General features: G+C 39.5%; 1 protein-coding gene across 8 annotated transcripts in view, besides 1 other annotated feature; it reads right to left on the reverse strand.

Annotated features, from left to right (window-relative positions):
• FHIT (fragile histidine triad diadenosine triphosphatase) overlaps positions 1 to 17,721 on the reverse strand; it is a 1,504,176-nt gene that overhangs the window by 262,724 nt on the left and 1,223,731 nt on the right. For 6 of the 8 annotated variants that reach the window (NM_001354589.2, NM_001354590.2, NM_001166243.3 and 3 more), the window contains 2 exons: positions 4,007 to 4,152; positions 1,371 to 1,400 (listed from right to left, as the gene is read on the reverse strand). In NM_001354589.2, coding sequence (NP_001341518.1) covers positions 1,371 to 1,400; positions 4,007 to 4,152 — 176 coding nt within the window. Of the gene's footprint in view, positions 1 to 1,370; positions 1,401 to 4,006; positions 4,153 to 4,205; positions 4,265 to 17,721 lie in introns of all 8 variants that reach the window. The other 2 variants (NM_001320901.2, NR_135491.2) reach the window with 2 other exon arrangements.
• Positions 875 to 1,084: a silencer, noted in NCBI's record as "silent region_14494". NCBI's record gives its function as "represses an Ori minimal core promoter by ATAC-STARR-seq in GM12878 lymphoblastoid cells {active_cell/tissue: GM12878}" and the evidence as "EXISTENCE:reporter gene assay evidence [ECO:0000049][PMID:35858748]".

Raw genomic sequence — 17,721 nt, forward strand, 5'->3', positions numbered from 1 at the left:
TCCCCCATGTCACTAGCTATGCCTCTACAGTATCGCTTTCAATGGCTGAAGGAATTCCATCAAATAGATATTGCATAGTGCATCTAACTAATCCGGTATAGTTGGAATTTACATTTGAATACTGAGTTTTAAAAAATCTTGGAACCAAGTTTAAACATTTGTGTTTTGCATTTCAAGAAGTGATTTCAAAAAGAAGCCACAGGTATTAAATCCTTTCTTTGCATCCGTATATTTAGAGCCTCACATGGAGGTGAGACAGTGGGACAGAGGAAAGCTGAAAGCCTCTGTGTCTATCACCATACCCTGTGTGTAGAGCAATTAGGAGGCTAGCCCTTTTTTATGATAAGGAATTTGGTAGCCCATATGGTGGCAGTCCCTACATAAACTTTCACTGCTTAGAAGTATTTCCCAGAGATTGTATTTTAAAAGTCCCAGAATAGCTGTGTTAAAGACAAAAGTAAAGTAAGATCAAAAGGGAACTTACGTTTATTTGGCATTGTTTGTGTGGGCAGCACCTTATCCACTCACAGCTAGTCTTCGAAGCATTAAACTTTATTTCAACAAAGTGTAACATTAACATCCCAGCCTGACTTGCTTCTGACTTCTAGCACCAAAAATAGAGCCTTTTCTATGACTTAGGTGCAGAATCTACCCGTATAGGAATTAGCATTTGTATGAAAAGAGCTGAAACCCAGCTTCTGAATCAGCCAGGATTTTATTATTTTATTTTTACTACAGAAGCAGAGACTATCCTAATAAATCCTCCTTTCTTCTCCTAGCACACTTAAAAACCCATCTTTGAGCTCCACTGACTCCATTAGGTTTGAACTTTGGTATTAAGTACACAGGGAGGAAAAGAGTAGGTGTGGGGGTGACGAGAAGGAGAACAGAGAGAAGCACAGGAGAACAGAAAGGAAGGGAGGCAGCTTGATGCTACTGCTGCGGTTATTGCTTCACTCAAAAACAATGAAGCAAAAGCAGACTATGTCAAGAAGCAAAGGTGTGTCAAAGACACCCCAGGCTTAACATGGGGCTGCACAAACCCACAGGAAGCTCACATGCTATTTCCTAGACACTCTCTCACATGAACCACTTTGACTTATGTTTCCGGACTCCTTGATTTAGTTTCTGTTTTAGCGTTTGCACAATAATAATTTTACTACTAAAAGTAAATGTCTTGTAAACCAATGGGAAACATATTGTTTGGCAGAGTTTATAATGTCAGGATTTACGGCTCTAACACTGAGGGTCTCTCTGACCTCGAAGATAACATAATGAAACAGCAATGTGCTGCATATGACTCGTTGTGATTTTTTATTAGTTCTCATAATCGCCTCTTATTAATTTGTATGCACATAATAAGCACTCACCTTCACAGTCTGTCCGGCTTCGGGGCCATCCTAGAAGTAGGAAAAAACCAACAGAGGTGAGAATAGATAGATGGTATCTCCTGCTTATTCAGAAATATCACCCATTAATAATTTAGATGCAATTTCATTGTGTGTTAATTTATAGTATTCTCATGGGGACCATTGGCTTCAAATGTGCGGGATTAGACAGTTCTCCATTTCCGCCTGAGAGTAAGTGCGAAGTTATGTATAAAAATGATATAAATTATCCAGCAAGCCAACTCCTTGCTACTTTTCATGCTCTTTGCTCTAGGCTATGGTTTTAATTGCATTAAAGGAAGGCTGAAAATGTTTGGGGAGGTGAAGTATCACACCTTCTGGTTATGTTTAGAGGTGGTTTAATTAATGTCTGATTACTTTAAGCTTCTACTCAGGAAATCTGCTATAAACATAAGCCATTAAGGAAGAATATGGGGTATTTCATATGGGAAGAGTCCTCTGGCTATTCTGACCTTGTGGGAGACAAATGGTAGTGTTCATTGTAGCTGGACCCTTTTCCCAAACTGGTTCCCTTTCTCTGTTTCTGAAGCTTAGTTGGAAATGGGCAAACTCACCAAGTCACCAGCCATAATATAAAGCAAAAGCAGATACTCAGCTGGTTGAGATGGCCAAACAAAGCAATGGCTCCACAATCAGAAATTCCAAAATAGAATTTCACCTCTGCAACTTTAGCCAGGTTTGTCTACCTCTATGAGCCTGACTAACGGGGTGAGAACTCCCGCCGTAAGGATTAAGCATAACTGTGTATATCAGGGATTTTCAAACTTAGAGTCACAATCCATTAGTGGGTCATGAAGTCAACTTAATGGGTTGCAATCAGCATTACAAACAATGTAAATCAGGTGTTTTTTTTGTTGTTTTTTTTTTTTTTTTTTTTGAGAAAGGGTCTTACTCAGTTGTCCAGGCCAGAGTATGGTGGCATGATGGCGGCTCACTGCACCCTTGACCTCCTGGACTCAAGTGATTCTCCTGCCTCAGCCTCCTGAGTAACTGGGACTACAGGCATGCACCATCATGCCTGGCTAATTTTTGTATTTTTCTTAGGGACAGGGTTTTGCCATGTTGCCCAAGCTGATCTCAAACTCCTGAGCTCAAGAGAGCTGCCGGTCTTAGCCTCCCAAAGTGCTGGGATTACAGGTGTGAGCCACCACACCCAGCCAGAAATCAGATCTTAATAGAATAAAAACTATTAGACTGCACAGAATGAGTAAACATTGTTTTGTGAAACTCTGGTTTCCTTTATCAATATAGGCATATGCATATATTTCATATATGTGTGTCAGGGGAGACAGGCATGATTTTGAAATAAATATGTATCTTACTGTAGGTTACAGTAAAAAATAGTTTGACCACATTGCATATACGAAAGTACTCTAGGTGCTAACACAAGTCAGCTCTTACATTTATGGAATTAACTTTCTAGTGAAAAATGTTCCATAACCAGCAATGGCCATTTCCTATAAATGTGATTTTTATTCTTGTATCTCACTAAACATTAACAGAGGTTTTCATTCACTGCCTTCATTTAGTCTCTCCAGAAACACGGTTTGCAACATAAGCTTGATAAACCCACTCTGAACTGAACTACCTGCCTGAAGGGGACTCAAATGGTTTGACATACAACACATACACACAAAGCATTTGGGGGAAGTTTAGCTACTCTTAACACAGACATGGCAGCAAAAAAAGAAAGAAAAAAATCTGTTTGAGAAGAAGATGAGCACTTTTAGTCAGAGCCTTCATAACCTGAAAACACTGGCTTTCTTTATCTGGTCTCTTTGAAGCTCTATGGTAAAGAGCTAAGGAGGGGAGGAAGAATGGCAAACATTCAGTTTAACTAACAGGCTGAGTACAGAGTCCTCACATTTTGAAAGTGTGTCCTTCTAAAGGGCAATTACAGAGTCATCCAATTTCAGAGCCATGAAGGACTTTATACATTGATACCCCAGCCCTTTCCATAGAGGGCCTGAAGGAGCTCATGGTATGTTACTACGGATTTACTCAATTCCCTACTGATGACTCACCATGGACATCCTTCTCCCAACCTGACAACTGTTGGCTCAACCTCTGCCTAAAAATCTTCAGTGACTGGGGATCTGATTTCTTCACTGGTCAGTGGGCCACACCCAACCAGTGAATCTAGCTTCTAACTAATCTGTGATCAATCTCTGCATCTTGAATTAAAGACAGACAAAAGGTAAGGCCCAACCTAAGCTGCATATCACTGCCACCCTGGAATTAGAGCAGGGCTTAGTCTATGCAGTGCTCAAAAATTAGTTACCATGGAATGAAAATGATTTTTCCAGTCCCAGTTCCAGTAAGCAATTTGGAATGTCTGAATGTCCATTAAATCACTTATCCATTACTCCCACCTGCTTGGTAAACAAGCCTCAGACATCACCTTAGACACTATCCCACGGTCCATCTTGGGGCCAATGGACAGTAGGGTTGCCCTGCATTAGAAATCTCTTTTTTTGGCTGCTACCTAAAATACAAACAATCACATCTGCCCTCCTGGTAAGATATCAGGAGGAGCAAGCCCAATGCCGGGATATGAAAGGGAAGAAAAATCATTTCTGAGAAATCTGTACACTCACCTGCATGGAAAAGGTGAGAGAGGTCCCATGGAAATGTTTTTCCACCACTGTCCCGACTCTCTGGGTCGTCTGAAACAAATCGGCCACTTCATCAGGACGCAGGTCATGGAAGCGCTCCACTGGCCGCAGCGGGCACACAAGGACATCTGTAGCAAGGTCTGTTAAGGCCCATGCTGCTGGCTTTGGGTAGTGTTCTTACCAAGCAGTTCATACCCACAGGATTGAATCCTCTCGGACCAGGGCCTGAACTCTCAAAGACTAAGGAATGAAGAAACAGATATTTACCATCCACTGAACTCCAGAGAGTTGAAAGAGAGCTCCCATACATGGATAATTACACTTTGAAGGAGAAGCTGTGGTATGCAGAAGAATTTCTTGCAAAAGAAAGGGACATTCGTGTACAGACAGACTCAAGTGTATGGTGAGATAATTATGCGAGGAGGCAAGATCTATTCTAGATCATTCTCTCTTGACCCCTATTCTAAAGCTGTGTCCGCTTCAGCAGCCAAAGGCACTAGGTTGAAAAAGCAACTGGAATATCTACTTGGTTTCTCTAGGTAGAACATGGGGATAAATTTTTAATTTAAATTATCTCTTTAGAGAAATAAGAAAATTATGCAATGAACATACAAAAGTAGATGTTTATTTTATTTTTAAAAGAGTATAGACATTCTGAAAATGTACAGTGAACTTTATCCATAACTAAGAGAGGTGCCATGTGGTTAAGCAATTTATGACAAGAGTTCCTCAGACTAATTTTTTTTTTAGAATCCAAAAGAAGACATTTGAAGGTAAATCATGAACGAAAGGTTGTCTGTTTATTCAAATAAAGCATTCTTAATGCATTCTACAAGTTAGACAAGGCAACGTATTTACACTATTGGTCTCAGCAACATATAAGATCTGAGAAAAAAGGATAGAAATTTGATTACTTCTTGATAGGAAATTAATATTCACTGTTACACCATCAATAACATTTCAGTCACTATACACACATGTATGCACACATGTGTATATACACACACTATATATATAAATATTTGTTTAGTTTTTAGATACTAACAAGAGAAACAAACTCTTGTACGTTTTTCTGTTTCTTTTTTCTTGTTGTTTTAAGACAGCATGCTCCTGCCTGGAGCTAAGCAGCTGAGGGGCATAATAAAACCATAATTCTGCAATTGCTAGTCTCACTAGAATATCAACCCCATTCCGCTATTGGTAGAACTCAGAGCCCAAGGGGAAACACAACTGAGCTCAGCTGGTCAGGCCTGATTTCCATAAGAGAGAGGGGAAGAGAAAGAAGAAACTGATTAATTTTGCTCATAATCAGGAAATTCATGTCAATGGTAAACTAGGAAAAGAAGCATTTTTAAAATCAGAGTTCATTTTTCAAGAGAGGAGAAGGGAGGCGTTCACCCACAGGGCATCTGATACTTAAAAAGATAATTATCCATCTTTGGCAGGCCCGCTTTATTATCATGGGTCAATGAACCATTTAGAAATGAAGAATTTCCTTTCATTTCCTTTGAGCAGATTGCCAGCCTCCACTCCCACGAAGCTGCTTTTTCTGTGTTAAAAGGGACCCTTCCCCATATTCCTCCTCCCTGATTTGAATTACACCCTCACTTAGGCCTGACTTCACCAAACCACAGCAAGGGTGACAACCATGCAAGCTTCCAACGAAGTCCATAAGTGCTATGTTAGGCTATGTTCACACACAGCAACTCGGTGGGGGAGGAAGACATTTCACTTCAACAATGGCTTACTGTGAAAACTGGTGGAATAAATCAGACAACCTATGTATCTAATGTAAATTTAGTAATATCAATGACATCCAAAAATGTTTTTTTTCAACACCATAAAAAAACTTATTGTTTGTCAATTTTGCTTGTTTGCATGTTGCTCCTAGAAAAACAACTCAGGGAAAGCAAATTAATTAGAAGAACAGCAGATAGCTTTTGTAATTCTAATGCCACTTTTTATATGCCAATTGTTTTAAAATAATATCACAGATGCAATATAATTTAATTTGGAGCCTCTTAGGCCTTGTTAATGGGTAAATTCCATATTATACATAGGCTATGAAGACACATTTACTTCTGGATCCTGTTTGCTTGGGATTATCTCCTCTGTCAAGATTTCTTAGCCAACATGTAGGATAACCTTTAAAGAATTAAAGTTACTATATTGAATTGAATAAATGTTTTATCCAGTACATATCATGTGTGAAAACTTGTGGAACTGGTTACCACTTCTCCCTATAATCTAGAGTATAGAGTTTTTTTAGCAATAATATTTTTTAAAGGAAGCGAAGGTCAATAGTTATAATTTAGGTTGTATAGCTGACAAGGAGATTTCTCACAGTAGATGAAAACCAAAGGCGACTTCTTAGAGCAGATGAGATTTAAACTGGACTTTAAAAATTGGGGAGTGATTTAACCAGTGGATTGGGCTGGCAACCTACTCACTCATCCATCCCAACACTGCAGTCTCCTCTCAGTCCAGGGTCTATGCTGGAACTTAGGATGCTAAGATGACCAGGACAGAGTAGCTGACCTTGAAGAGTTCACATTCTAATGTCCGCAACTGTCATGCAGTGTAAACAGATCATTACAACACAGAGAGATGAATGCTATTGGTAGAAATCAGTATAGAAAGCTGTGGGAGCACAGGGGAGGTCAGATCTAATTCTGCCTCAGGGTGTTAGATAAACTTTTCCATCTCATTTTACATTTCACCTTTTAAAGTAGAACAATTTCTCCACACCTAGACCAAAATCTGTCCTTAAAAATGGTCCAGAAACTTAAGGTTAGCTTCAAAGAAAGTTGTTAAGCGTTCCTCCTTTGGCCCAAATCACCATTTCACTTTTGTACGTACTCTTACTTACTCAATCTTTCCAACAAACCCATAAACTATTAATACTATTATAATTCCCATGTTGAAGATGAATTATAAGCAATAATTTCTTATAGAAAATTAGAAACTTGCCACACCAGCACACTCAAAATGAGATTAAAACTAGAATTCAACCCGTCTGTCCGATTCTAAAGTTCATGTTATTAATGACAGTGCTGTGATGTCATGCTTGTTAGAGCTTTCATGACTCCATTTTTGCCTAGCCTCTTATTAAAACTGTGCCCTGCATTCCCTAGTCACTCTGTTCATAGAAGGGAACCACTGTTTTCATTAAATAGAAGGCTATGATGCAAACATGCTGAACGCTTAAGAAACACCTAACCTTGGAAAAAGAAAGCAGACGAGACCTACAATCCCACAATGAAAGGAGGCCTCAGCACTGGGCAGTGAGTATGCCTTCATCCTAACAGAGAATCGTAAGATCAAAAAGGGGGGAGAGTACCAGCTTGCCTGAACTGGAGGAAGTAAAGAGGGATACAAAGCTGGCATTTTGCCCCTTCTCATCCTGACTTTGGGTTGCTTCAAGGTGACTTGGGCTCCATCATGGGCCAGACTCCTGAGAAAGTTTAGATACTGCAGCCTCTATCACTGGGTCAGGTTGTCAGACACACTGAATCCATTGCTTGTTGGACAGTCTAATTACTGAGAATTATGGACCTTCTCACAACACATGATTCATATCACAAGAGACTACCAGAAACTTGGCAATCCTTTCTTTTTGTTTTCCCTTTTCGTCTCCTCCTCTTCATGCTCACCACCAGCCCAGAACTGACTATCTCTCTTTTTGAACATGAACACTTTAGGTGTTTTTGCTGCATTAAAGTGGTGTGACCACATGCCAAGCCCTATGCTGAACTCTTGCTGACACACTGCCAACTCAGAATACACACAATGAAAGAAAGACATATTCGCATTAGTCAGGTGCCTAGAGCTGGTGTGGTTTGCTATTTGCAAATGTGACCACAAGAATCCCTCCCATCCTACACATGCTGTTTTGCTCTCTGGCTTTCCCCCACTTTCCATCAAGAGTTGCAGTCTATTTCCCCTCCCCTTGAGTGTCTATCTTACTTTGTGTTTGTGTTGTTATAAAAGAACACCTGAAGCTGGGTCGTTTACAAAGAAAAGAGGTTTATCTGGCTCACAGTTCTGAAGGCTGTCCAAGAAGCACGATGCTGGCTTCTGAATTTGGTGGAGGCCTCAAGATGCTTCCATTCATGGCAGAAGTGGAAGGGAAAACAGTTTGCAGAGATCATATGGTGAGAAAGGAGGCAAGAGAGACAGGAGGGAGGTGCCAGACCCTTTTCAACAACCAGCTCTTCTGGGAACTAATAGAGCAGTAGAGAGCTCACTGGTTACCACAAAGATGACATCAAGTGATTCATGAAGGATCTGCCCCCAAACACTTCCCATTAGACCCTACCGCCAACATCAGGGATCAAATTTCAACATGAGGTTTGGAGGGTCAAATATCCAATCTATAGCAGTGTTGCTGTGTGACTTTCCAAGGTTAGGCCTTAAGTGACCTTGAAACCTCTGATTATTGCTCTCTTGGAAGCCTGAGACCAACATGCTATAAAAAATCCCAGCTAGCCTGTTAAGTGGCAACATGAAGAAAGAACTAAGGCACCTCAGCTGATAGTCAGCAATAACTGTCAGAGATCATCTCAGACCTTCTAGAGTCAGGAGAGCCACTGACTTCCAGTTTCTATATCACTTATCTACTGCTGCATAATAAACTACCCCAAATCATAGAGCCTTAAAACAACATTGATCGGCCGGGCGCAGTGGCTCACGCCTGTAATCCCAGCACTTTGGGAGGCCAAAGCGCGCGAATCACCTGAGGTCAGCAGTTCAAGACCAGCCTGGCCAACGTGGTGAAACCCCATCTCTACTAAAAATACAAAAAAAACAGCTGGGCATGGTGGCGGGCATCTGTAATCCCAGCTACTCAGGAGGCAGAGACAGAAGAATCCCTTGAATCCGGGAGGTGGAGGTTGCAGTGAGCCAAGGTCACGCCATTGCACTCCAGCCTGGGCTACAAGAGCAAAACTCTGTCTCAAAACAACAACAACAACAACAAACCAACATTGATAGGTTTTACTACCATAAGTCTGTGGATGGTTTTTGCTGAGGGTCTCACCTGGACTCACTCATGCAACTGCTTTCAGATGGAAGGTAGGCTGGAGTCTGGGCTCAGCTGCATCCACTAGGCCCTTCACTCTACATGCTCTTCCATCCCAATAGATGCAGAATCTCTGAATTTGCTTAAGGCTTACATTGTCCCACATTCTATCGGTCAAAGAAAATCACAAGCCAACCCAGATTCAAGGTAGAGATATTCTGTCTTCTAAAAGGAGGAGTGGAAAGATGACAGTCAAAAGGGATATGGACACTAGGAAGTTCCAGGGATGTTTAAAAATTAACAGGGGCCCAAGGTATCTTGGCTGTCCTAGTGAGTAAATACAGGATGGCATTTTAGAGTTGAGATGCTCCTTTTTTTTTTTTTTTTTCCTGAGATGGAGTTTCGCTCTCGTTGCCCAGGCTGGAGAGCAATGGCACAATCTCAGCTCAGTGCAACCTCTGCTTCCTGGGTTCAAGTGATTCTCCTGCCTCAGCCTCCCAAGTAGCTGGGAATACAGGCATGCACCACCATGCCCAGCTAATTTTGTATTTTTAGTAGAGATGGGGTTTCTCCACGTTGGTCAGGCTGGTCGTAAACTCCCGACCTTAGGTGATCCACCTGCCTTCACCTCCCAAAGTGCTGGGGTTACAGGCATGAGCCGCCGTGCCCAGCCGAGATGGATCTTAAACATCAACTACTCCAATACCTTCACTGTCAGATTTTAAAAATAGGGAGAGAAAGGTTACTTAACTTGTTCAAAGTCACACAGTTAGGAGCACAGTTGGGATTGGAGCTCAACTGGTGAGCTTCCCCAACCAAAGCTCTTTCTGTTACACTGAGATGGCAAAACATTGCACATCTGCCACTATTTTCCAATGGTAAACTTATGGCAGAATAATCGACCACAGAATTCTCTCCTTTAACCAAAGTGTCCCCAAATACTTGCCAATATAACCTCTGAGCAGTCAACACCAGTGAGAATGGGCACGCGACATGAGATGCATGTGCCATTTCTGTGGCCTCCCACACTGCCTCATGAAACACAGAACCAACTGCAAAGGACTGGTGGAGTCAGAACAAAGGGGGATGCTGCAAAAGGGAGAATCTTCCCAACTACATAAAATTTCCATTATGTTGCCACATTTTTATTCAAAATAAATTTGATAAGTTCAAAATTTGCTCATCAAGGATAATAATTGATTAAAAATATTTTTAGGAGGATTTCCATGACAAATACGAAATATTTAAACATGGAGCACTGACAGATAAATGGAAATGTACTGATTCAGATGATTAATTAAAGATGACAGCAGAATATTATGATCGGAGTTGCTCAGACTCGCCCCCATTTAGTTTTCTATATCTGATCTATTCTAGGGATTCAGAATATAGAAGTCACCAAAATAAAGCAAATCATCAAAATATCACTGATTTTGATTAGGCTGATTAGCCTGTGTATATATTAATATGAAGTAAGGCAGTATCAGATAATACAACACAGAATTAATCATTCTTCTGAACTAATAAAAAAGAGTCTGTATTCATCTCGACTGCAGATCTGTGTGTAGTTTAGTGATAAGCAAGGAACATTCCAGCTTGCAATGCAGACCTCAGCAGACCCTGTATAATTCATTATTTGCTCTAACAAACACTCCTAGGCCTTGTAAATGTTTAAAATAATTCTTAATGTCACTTCACAAAACAATAGCAGGATGGACTGTCAGCTACTTTTCAAGAAAATATTCAATTTATTTGATTTAAATAGCACAATTACAGAGCTTTGAGTCAAAGTAGGCGGCATCTCAAAAAGTAATCTATTCACAACGTAAGCACTTTGATGGATTTTCATATCAGAAAGGCAGAAATATCACCCTTAAATATTAATAAATACAATTCTGAAGAAGCATCTTGCTTTGTTTGGGCCACACCTTTTTTCAGTGGGGATTAACATACTCATTTCAGTAACTCAATAAAGGGTTCATGGGATATTCATCAACCATAACCATAAATGACACAGATGTAATTTTAAGCAAATGTGATTTCCAGAATATGATAAATTCCAGAGCAGTGTGATTAAGATAATGATAACACTCTGCTCAGAGCTGGTTCTCAAGGCAAGCATCTCACAAATATCCACTATCTCATGTTTTGCCCTGGGATATGCTTTGGGTCAGAGATATGATGAGACCTTGTTCATCTGGAGGAAGAGAACCCAGGTATCCTTGTCTAGGCAACATGCCCTGAGCTGCCCTCAAAACTCCGGTACCGATCTGGATGCTCAAAAGTAAGAATCACTTTCATCGAGAGAAGCAAACAGTTGCCTTTCAAAGAAAGTAAATTGACAGGGGAGTCCGCAGCCCGATAGCATTCTGGTACAGATTCTTTGGTTGAATTTCACATATTTTTCTGTGAACTTTTCAATGCAAAGTAATCTTATACTGATTGAGGGAAGAGCATCATATCTGGAAAAAAATATGCTCATATAAACTAAGTATGTGGGAAAGAAGTAAATGATATCATTAAAGGAAAGAAACAATATATAACATTTGTTTGCTGCCTAGTATGGTCTAGTGATAATCAATAACCCTTTGAGTTAGGATAATATCACCTCCCAATGTCCAGATTCAGAAGTTGAGGCCAAAAAAGTTTAACTGCATAACCAAGGTCACGTAGCTATTAAGTGAAAATCCCAGCCAGGGGCATGTGCTACAACACTGTTACAATGTCCATGCTGTTTCAATGCCTCTCAAGGTTATAAAAACCTCCATGTATAATACCTACTGCAGTGTTTACTAGAGTGGGATAGCAGAGCCCTGCTTCCACGGGATGCTGTTATACATTATACAGAAAAAAAACTGTGCGGTCAAAGAAGATTGAGAAACACTGCATGAAATGAAGTAAAATAGCTCTCTTTACCGCAGTATTCATCAGCATATTTACTGTACTACTATGCATTCTGGCTTCTCAAAAATAAGAAATAGTATGCAGCACTGCTCAAATTTGCTTATCTACAAAATAATAATGATTATTAATTATTAGTAATATTGTAGAACACTACACAGGACACATGTTTCAGAGGATGTTCTTTGGAAACCTTGAGCATCATTTCCCAAAACACAGAGAGGCCTGAGTAATTTTTCTGTTTTTTCAAACAAAAAGTTGAGTACATGTCCTATTAATCACATGGGCAAAGAAAGAGAGCATTCTGTGAAATGAAATATGCTGAGAAGTTGAGCATTAAAATACATCAAATGGGATATGGCAGTCATTAGTGCTGTTTGCCAAACAGTTCAGGTTACTGCCATGTCTGGGCATATGGTAGGCCTTCTGGACCCTTGCAGTTGGGTGAAGCTCAAGGAATACAGGTCAAAGAGTTGTGAGCGAAAATGATATACGTCACTTCTGGGCTAAAGCCCTTAACTTCTAGTATGTGACCGACAGCTTTATTTCCTTCACCAAGACAGGCAGCAATGCTTTGCAATGGTAGCTGCTCTGGCAGTGAGACCCCGAATTATAGGTCAGCAGGGGCCTCTGAGCATCGTGGTCACAGTGACTAGGGCAAGTTTGTTCTTAAATAGGTTTTACCTCTTTTGCTAACCCCAACCAACTTGTAGTAGCTATTTACAGCAGCATGTTGAAGAGGATTCTGAAGCTCTGATAAGGAGCAGGAGGAAAGAACTGAGGAATTTATTAGTTTTGGCTGCCACCAGGGAGGAAAAAAATATTAGCGTGTATACCAAGTACCTGCCATTCTTCAATTAGACGGCAATAAAAATGTTTTTTCAAGAATTCTCTCTCCCCCATTCTTAATGATATAGAAGTCATTTCTGGGACTTGCAATGTCTCTCAGTAACCGTTATGAAAATCTATTATTATTGTTATTGTCCTAGAGATATACAGAAGTGTCTAGAATTTAGATAATTCTGGTTAGGAGAGTACTGAAAAGGAAAATTAACTGTCACTCGAAAGAGTCTGTCCACAATGTGTAAACATGAGAATGGGAACACACCAATATGAAAATGAGCATGTTGTAAAAATGCTCTTAGGAGTTAAGACTTGAAGGAGTATGGCAATAGAAGAAATAAATTGCACTCAGCAGCTGAAGAAATATTTAAAGATAACTCCAATGAGAGATTATTTTAAACTTCAGATACACTTTGCTATGAGAATCATTTCAAAAACTCTGTAAAAAGCTTTTTAGTGAAGTAGAGATGAGAAAGTAATACTAAAAATCTGCAATTCATTGCAGATCTAGAAAACCACATGCAACATAAATAATTTAATAGCACCCTCACCATATACACAGTTTCATTTCACCAGTATGTGAATGAGGGGAGTGCCCTGAGCACATACCTCCATAGGGTGGCTAGAGTGAAACCTGGGGCCCAAACTCCCACATAGACAGGATTCTTCCAGTGCAAGCTCTATCAGGTTTTGAAATTATGGATTCCAAATTTAGGTTTGCTTATGTCATTTAAGAGACTAAAAATTCCAGTTTCCCTCAGATCTTCCATATAGCTGGCCAAGCCAATGGAGCAACCAGACAACACAGTTCAGATGCCATCTGAAGGCAAAAAGTAGCCAAACTATAAATATGAAAGGAAAGAAATAGGAAATGAGAGAAAGGGAGAGAGGAGATTAAAGGTAGGGGTGGTATTTAGCAGATGAAGCCTCCTTAGAAGAGAGGAAATACTCCTTTATAGATAGGCTCAACTAGGATTCCTGGTGCTACACACAGAGCTTAACATAGCATTGGCCTTTAATAAATACTTGGTGAAAAAATAAATGTCATGTAGGCTTATTCATTGTTTAATCTGGGAAACAATTCTTTCTAATGAATAATTTCTTCAAAATGCTCCCCAAACTGTGGGTTCTTAAAAGACCAGTGAACCAGTCCAGACTCAACTTACTTAAATGTAAACCATTAAGAAAAATATACTTCATGGTAAAAAAAAAAAGAATTATGAATTCCTAATACAAATGTAACATACCCAGCTAAAGGGATAGAAAAATAAATACAAACTGGTCTTTCCTTCACACATCAAAAGTAGTGCATGTGTTTTAAATGGAAAACTTCAGAACTATTAACTCAGTGAAGCTTGGAAAAGTTCAAAGATAACAGTGTTCTATGCTTTTTAATAACAATGAGGAACCCTCTTCTATGACAGATACTAATGTTAATAGAAACATCCTTTATTTCAAATAAATGAAAGAGAGTCACACTTAACACTAATTTGGCATTCTCACAGAATATGAATCAACGTCTTTCTCTCTTAAAATCAGTCCTCCATGAGCTAGCAACCTAAAATAAATGTGAAGATTTCGTAGTGAGAGGTATTCATCATGTGTTCAGTGAATGAACTTCTGAATGAATTAGTGAAAGATCACAAAGTTGAATATTAGAGAAAAGGATAAAGCCAAAAGACTTTCAAGAACTCTGTATTTTTTTGTATATTCATTCAGTAAATATTTGTGAATTAAGAGCCGACTACCTGGCAAGTACTATATAAGACACTGAGGATACAGCACAACCAGGTACAGTCATCCTCTCCCTTCCAAAGATGTGAAATCTAGAGGGTGAGCAGACAAAGGCAACTGACATAGTAACTACTGTGAAAATATAAGGGGTGAGATGAGAAAGAAAAGGTGCAAGAATGCAAGGGCAAGACCGTAACAAGCCAAACCAGCTAAGGTGGCTGTGAACTAGGCCCAGTTCACTTGGTCTAACTGGATCTTCAGGAAAGAGTGCAGGCCCTTGATAGCCTTGGTCAGCAGTCTGTATTTATTCGCCATGCATGGAGAAGCCACTGAAGCATTTCGGAGAGTGGAGATGTATGACAGATTCTGGGTTCTCTTTGCAAAGCTGAAGGCCACTGGGAATATCTTTATTGCAGACTAGGTAAAAGATTCAAAGCAGGCCTGGCCTGTGGTGGTGGCAGTAGAGATGCAGAGAATTTGAGATGTATGTTTGAGGTAGGAGCAACAAGACTTAACTAATGGGGGCAAAAAGGAAGAGAAGGATCAAAGAGGATTCCAAGGTTCTGGCTTGGGTAGTAGGTGAAGAGTGATGTAATTTTGAGATACGGTGGGTGGGACAGTGTCATGTAGCTCACCATTTGGAGACTTTTCTTTCTTGAATTTATAGAATTCTCCAGAAATAACTAGAGCAGAGTTTCCTAACCTGGGTCTACAGATAGGCTCCAGGGCTTCTATGAATCTCCTGAAATTGTTTGCAAAATGGTGCATATGTGCACGCACACACATTGTTTTCCTCTGGTATAAAATTCTTAAATAGTCTCCTGACCCCAACTAAGATAAGAAATCTAGATTTAAATCAGAAGAATTCTTTGAAGATTAGTCCCCAAGAGAATGATTAGAAACAGGCTCAGACTTTTGCTCACTTTGGCTTAGAATCTAATATACCCAGTACTAAAGAGTAAGAAAAGAAGTTCACTCTGTCTGAGCAATGTGCCATAATTCACAAGCATGAAGCCTCCATAAAAGACAAACAAAAGATTTTTTAATGCCATAACACCGAAGTCATTTTAATCTGATTCAGCAGTGAACAATTTAAGACATGTCTCCTCCAACAAAGGCAGCTGGACACATAAAGATGATTGTGTGATCCATTCAAAATTAAAGAATAAGCTAAATCATTTACAACAATAAAAATGCAGAAAATTCTACCAGAAAAAAAAAAAAAAAGAGAGAGTGAAAACTTTCAGCAGCAAGTGATTTCCAAATGTTTCCAAAACAGGAAGCAAAAGACATTTTAATGTCACTGTGGCAGCTTCCAGAATAGAGTAAGTTAATCAGGCAGCCTCTAAAAACAAAGCAGCAATTCATTAAAAACAACAACTGCTACTCAGCAATGAACTGTACTGCCAGAGTGTCAAGAAAGCAAACTTTTTCAAGATAGTGATTTGTATGCAAATATAGCTCAGCATTTATCACTAAACCTCCAAGGCCTGTAAAGGGGGGGAAAGAAAAGTTCTTTCCATCTGCTTACACCTGTCTCCTAATAAAATCAACTGCCAATCACAGGGGAGGCTGGGGCATTTTAAAAACAGTCAAAGAAATACATTCACAAATCCAGGGTTTCAAACAAAAAACTCCTGTCTACTCTTTCTTCTTCAAATCTCCTAGCCTACTGTCCTCTTCCTAAATTGGAGTTAATATCTGTACCTACTTCATTGGGATGTTAAAAGTGTTTTTTCAAAATAATAGCATATTTCACACCAACAAATAAAAGCTGAACGAATGGTTGGTTTAGAAAAAAAAAAAATAGTCAATGGAAATGAAATCCTTCAAAGCTTCCCTCAATCCAGCAATGGTAATGCGGTTATGTGATTGAAACAGTGTCTCACTAGCACCAGTGTTATCGTTTGGAACCCAGATCTTCATTCATCTCATGTTTAAAATGTCTGTACTTTTCTACATTCCACTCACCCACCCATCTCCATTTTCTCATTTGATCTCTGTTTTTTATTTCCCCCTCATAATGTAAGCATCACTGGTAGCAGAGTCTAGGAATTAATCATCTTATAATCATTTAGTCTTCCTCTCCAGTTCTAACTTACGACTTTTTCAAAATATGGTTGCTAACAATAAAAAAAATCTCAAAATGTGAAAACAAACAATGGAAAAATATTGTAAATATTTAAACGCATTTAGAATTTGCAAGTTTTTTTCACTCTAATGTCATTTTTCAAGCTATGTTTAGACAGCACAGAACACTATATGGTTTACCTAATGTTTAAATTAGTAGATCTGGCCAGGTGTGGTGGCTCACGCCTGTAATCCCAGCACTTTGGGAGGCCAAGGTGGGTGGGTCACTTGAGATCAGGAGTTTGAGAGCAGTCTAGCCAACATGGTGCAATCCTGTCTCTACTAAAAATACAAAAATCAGCTAGGCATGGTGGCACACACCTGTAATCCCAGCTACTCGGAAAGCTGAGGCAGGAGAATTTCTTGAACCCAGGAAGCAGAGCTTGCAGTGAGCCAAGATAACGCCACTGCACTCTAGCCTGGGTGACAGAGTGAGTAAGACTGTTTCACACACAGACACACACACACACACACACACACACACACACACACACACAAAATTAGTAAACCCAATAATCCACAAAGATCTATAAAAATATGAACTTACAAGATTTCTATATATTTGAATTTCATTTTGTATATAACTGAAAAAAAATATTTAAGCATGCCTAAGGAAAAAGAAAACTGTGGAAACAAAACAAATGTTCTGGCAATTCTGCAACAGTTTCACATTTGTATATTGTTATTCCTCCTGAAGAATCCTAAAATTCACTCTCATTTTCTTTATATGCTTAGATATTAAAAACATGTCTTTGACAACCAACAGTCTTCTGTCATGGGGAATCAGACATCGGCCCCATAATCTCTCATTACCAACATCACCATTGTCACTGTCTTTACCATCATCACTTAAAAGAAAATAGAAACTGCTTAAATAACCACAGCTAAAATAAGTGTCACAAGTTTCTTACTGATTAAATGCTCCTCCGCGAGACTGCAACCTCGAATACTACGCCATAGAGTTCAGATTCCAACACCTTTAATGTTTCTATAAGGAAAAAAAACCACAAGCGTTCTCCCTGAAAACGTACTCTTAACTCAGAATCTCTTCTGGTTCCATTTAGTTTAT

This window comes from Homo sapiens, chromosome 3 (genome assembly GCF_000001405.40).
Source record: "Homo sapiens chromosome 3, GRCh38.p14 Primary Assembly".
Taxonomy (NCBI): Eukaryota; Metazoa; Chordata; class Mammalia; order Primates; family Hominidae; genus Homo; species Homo sapiens.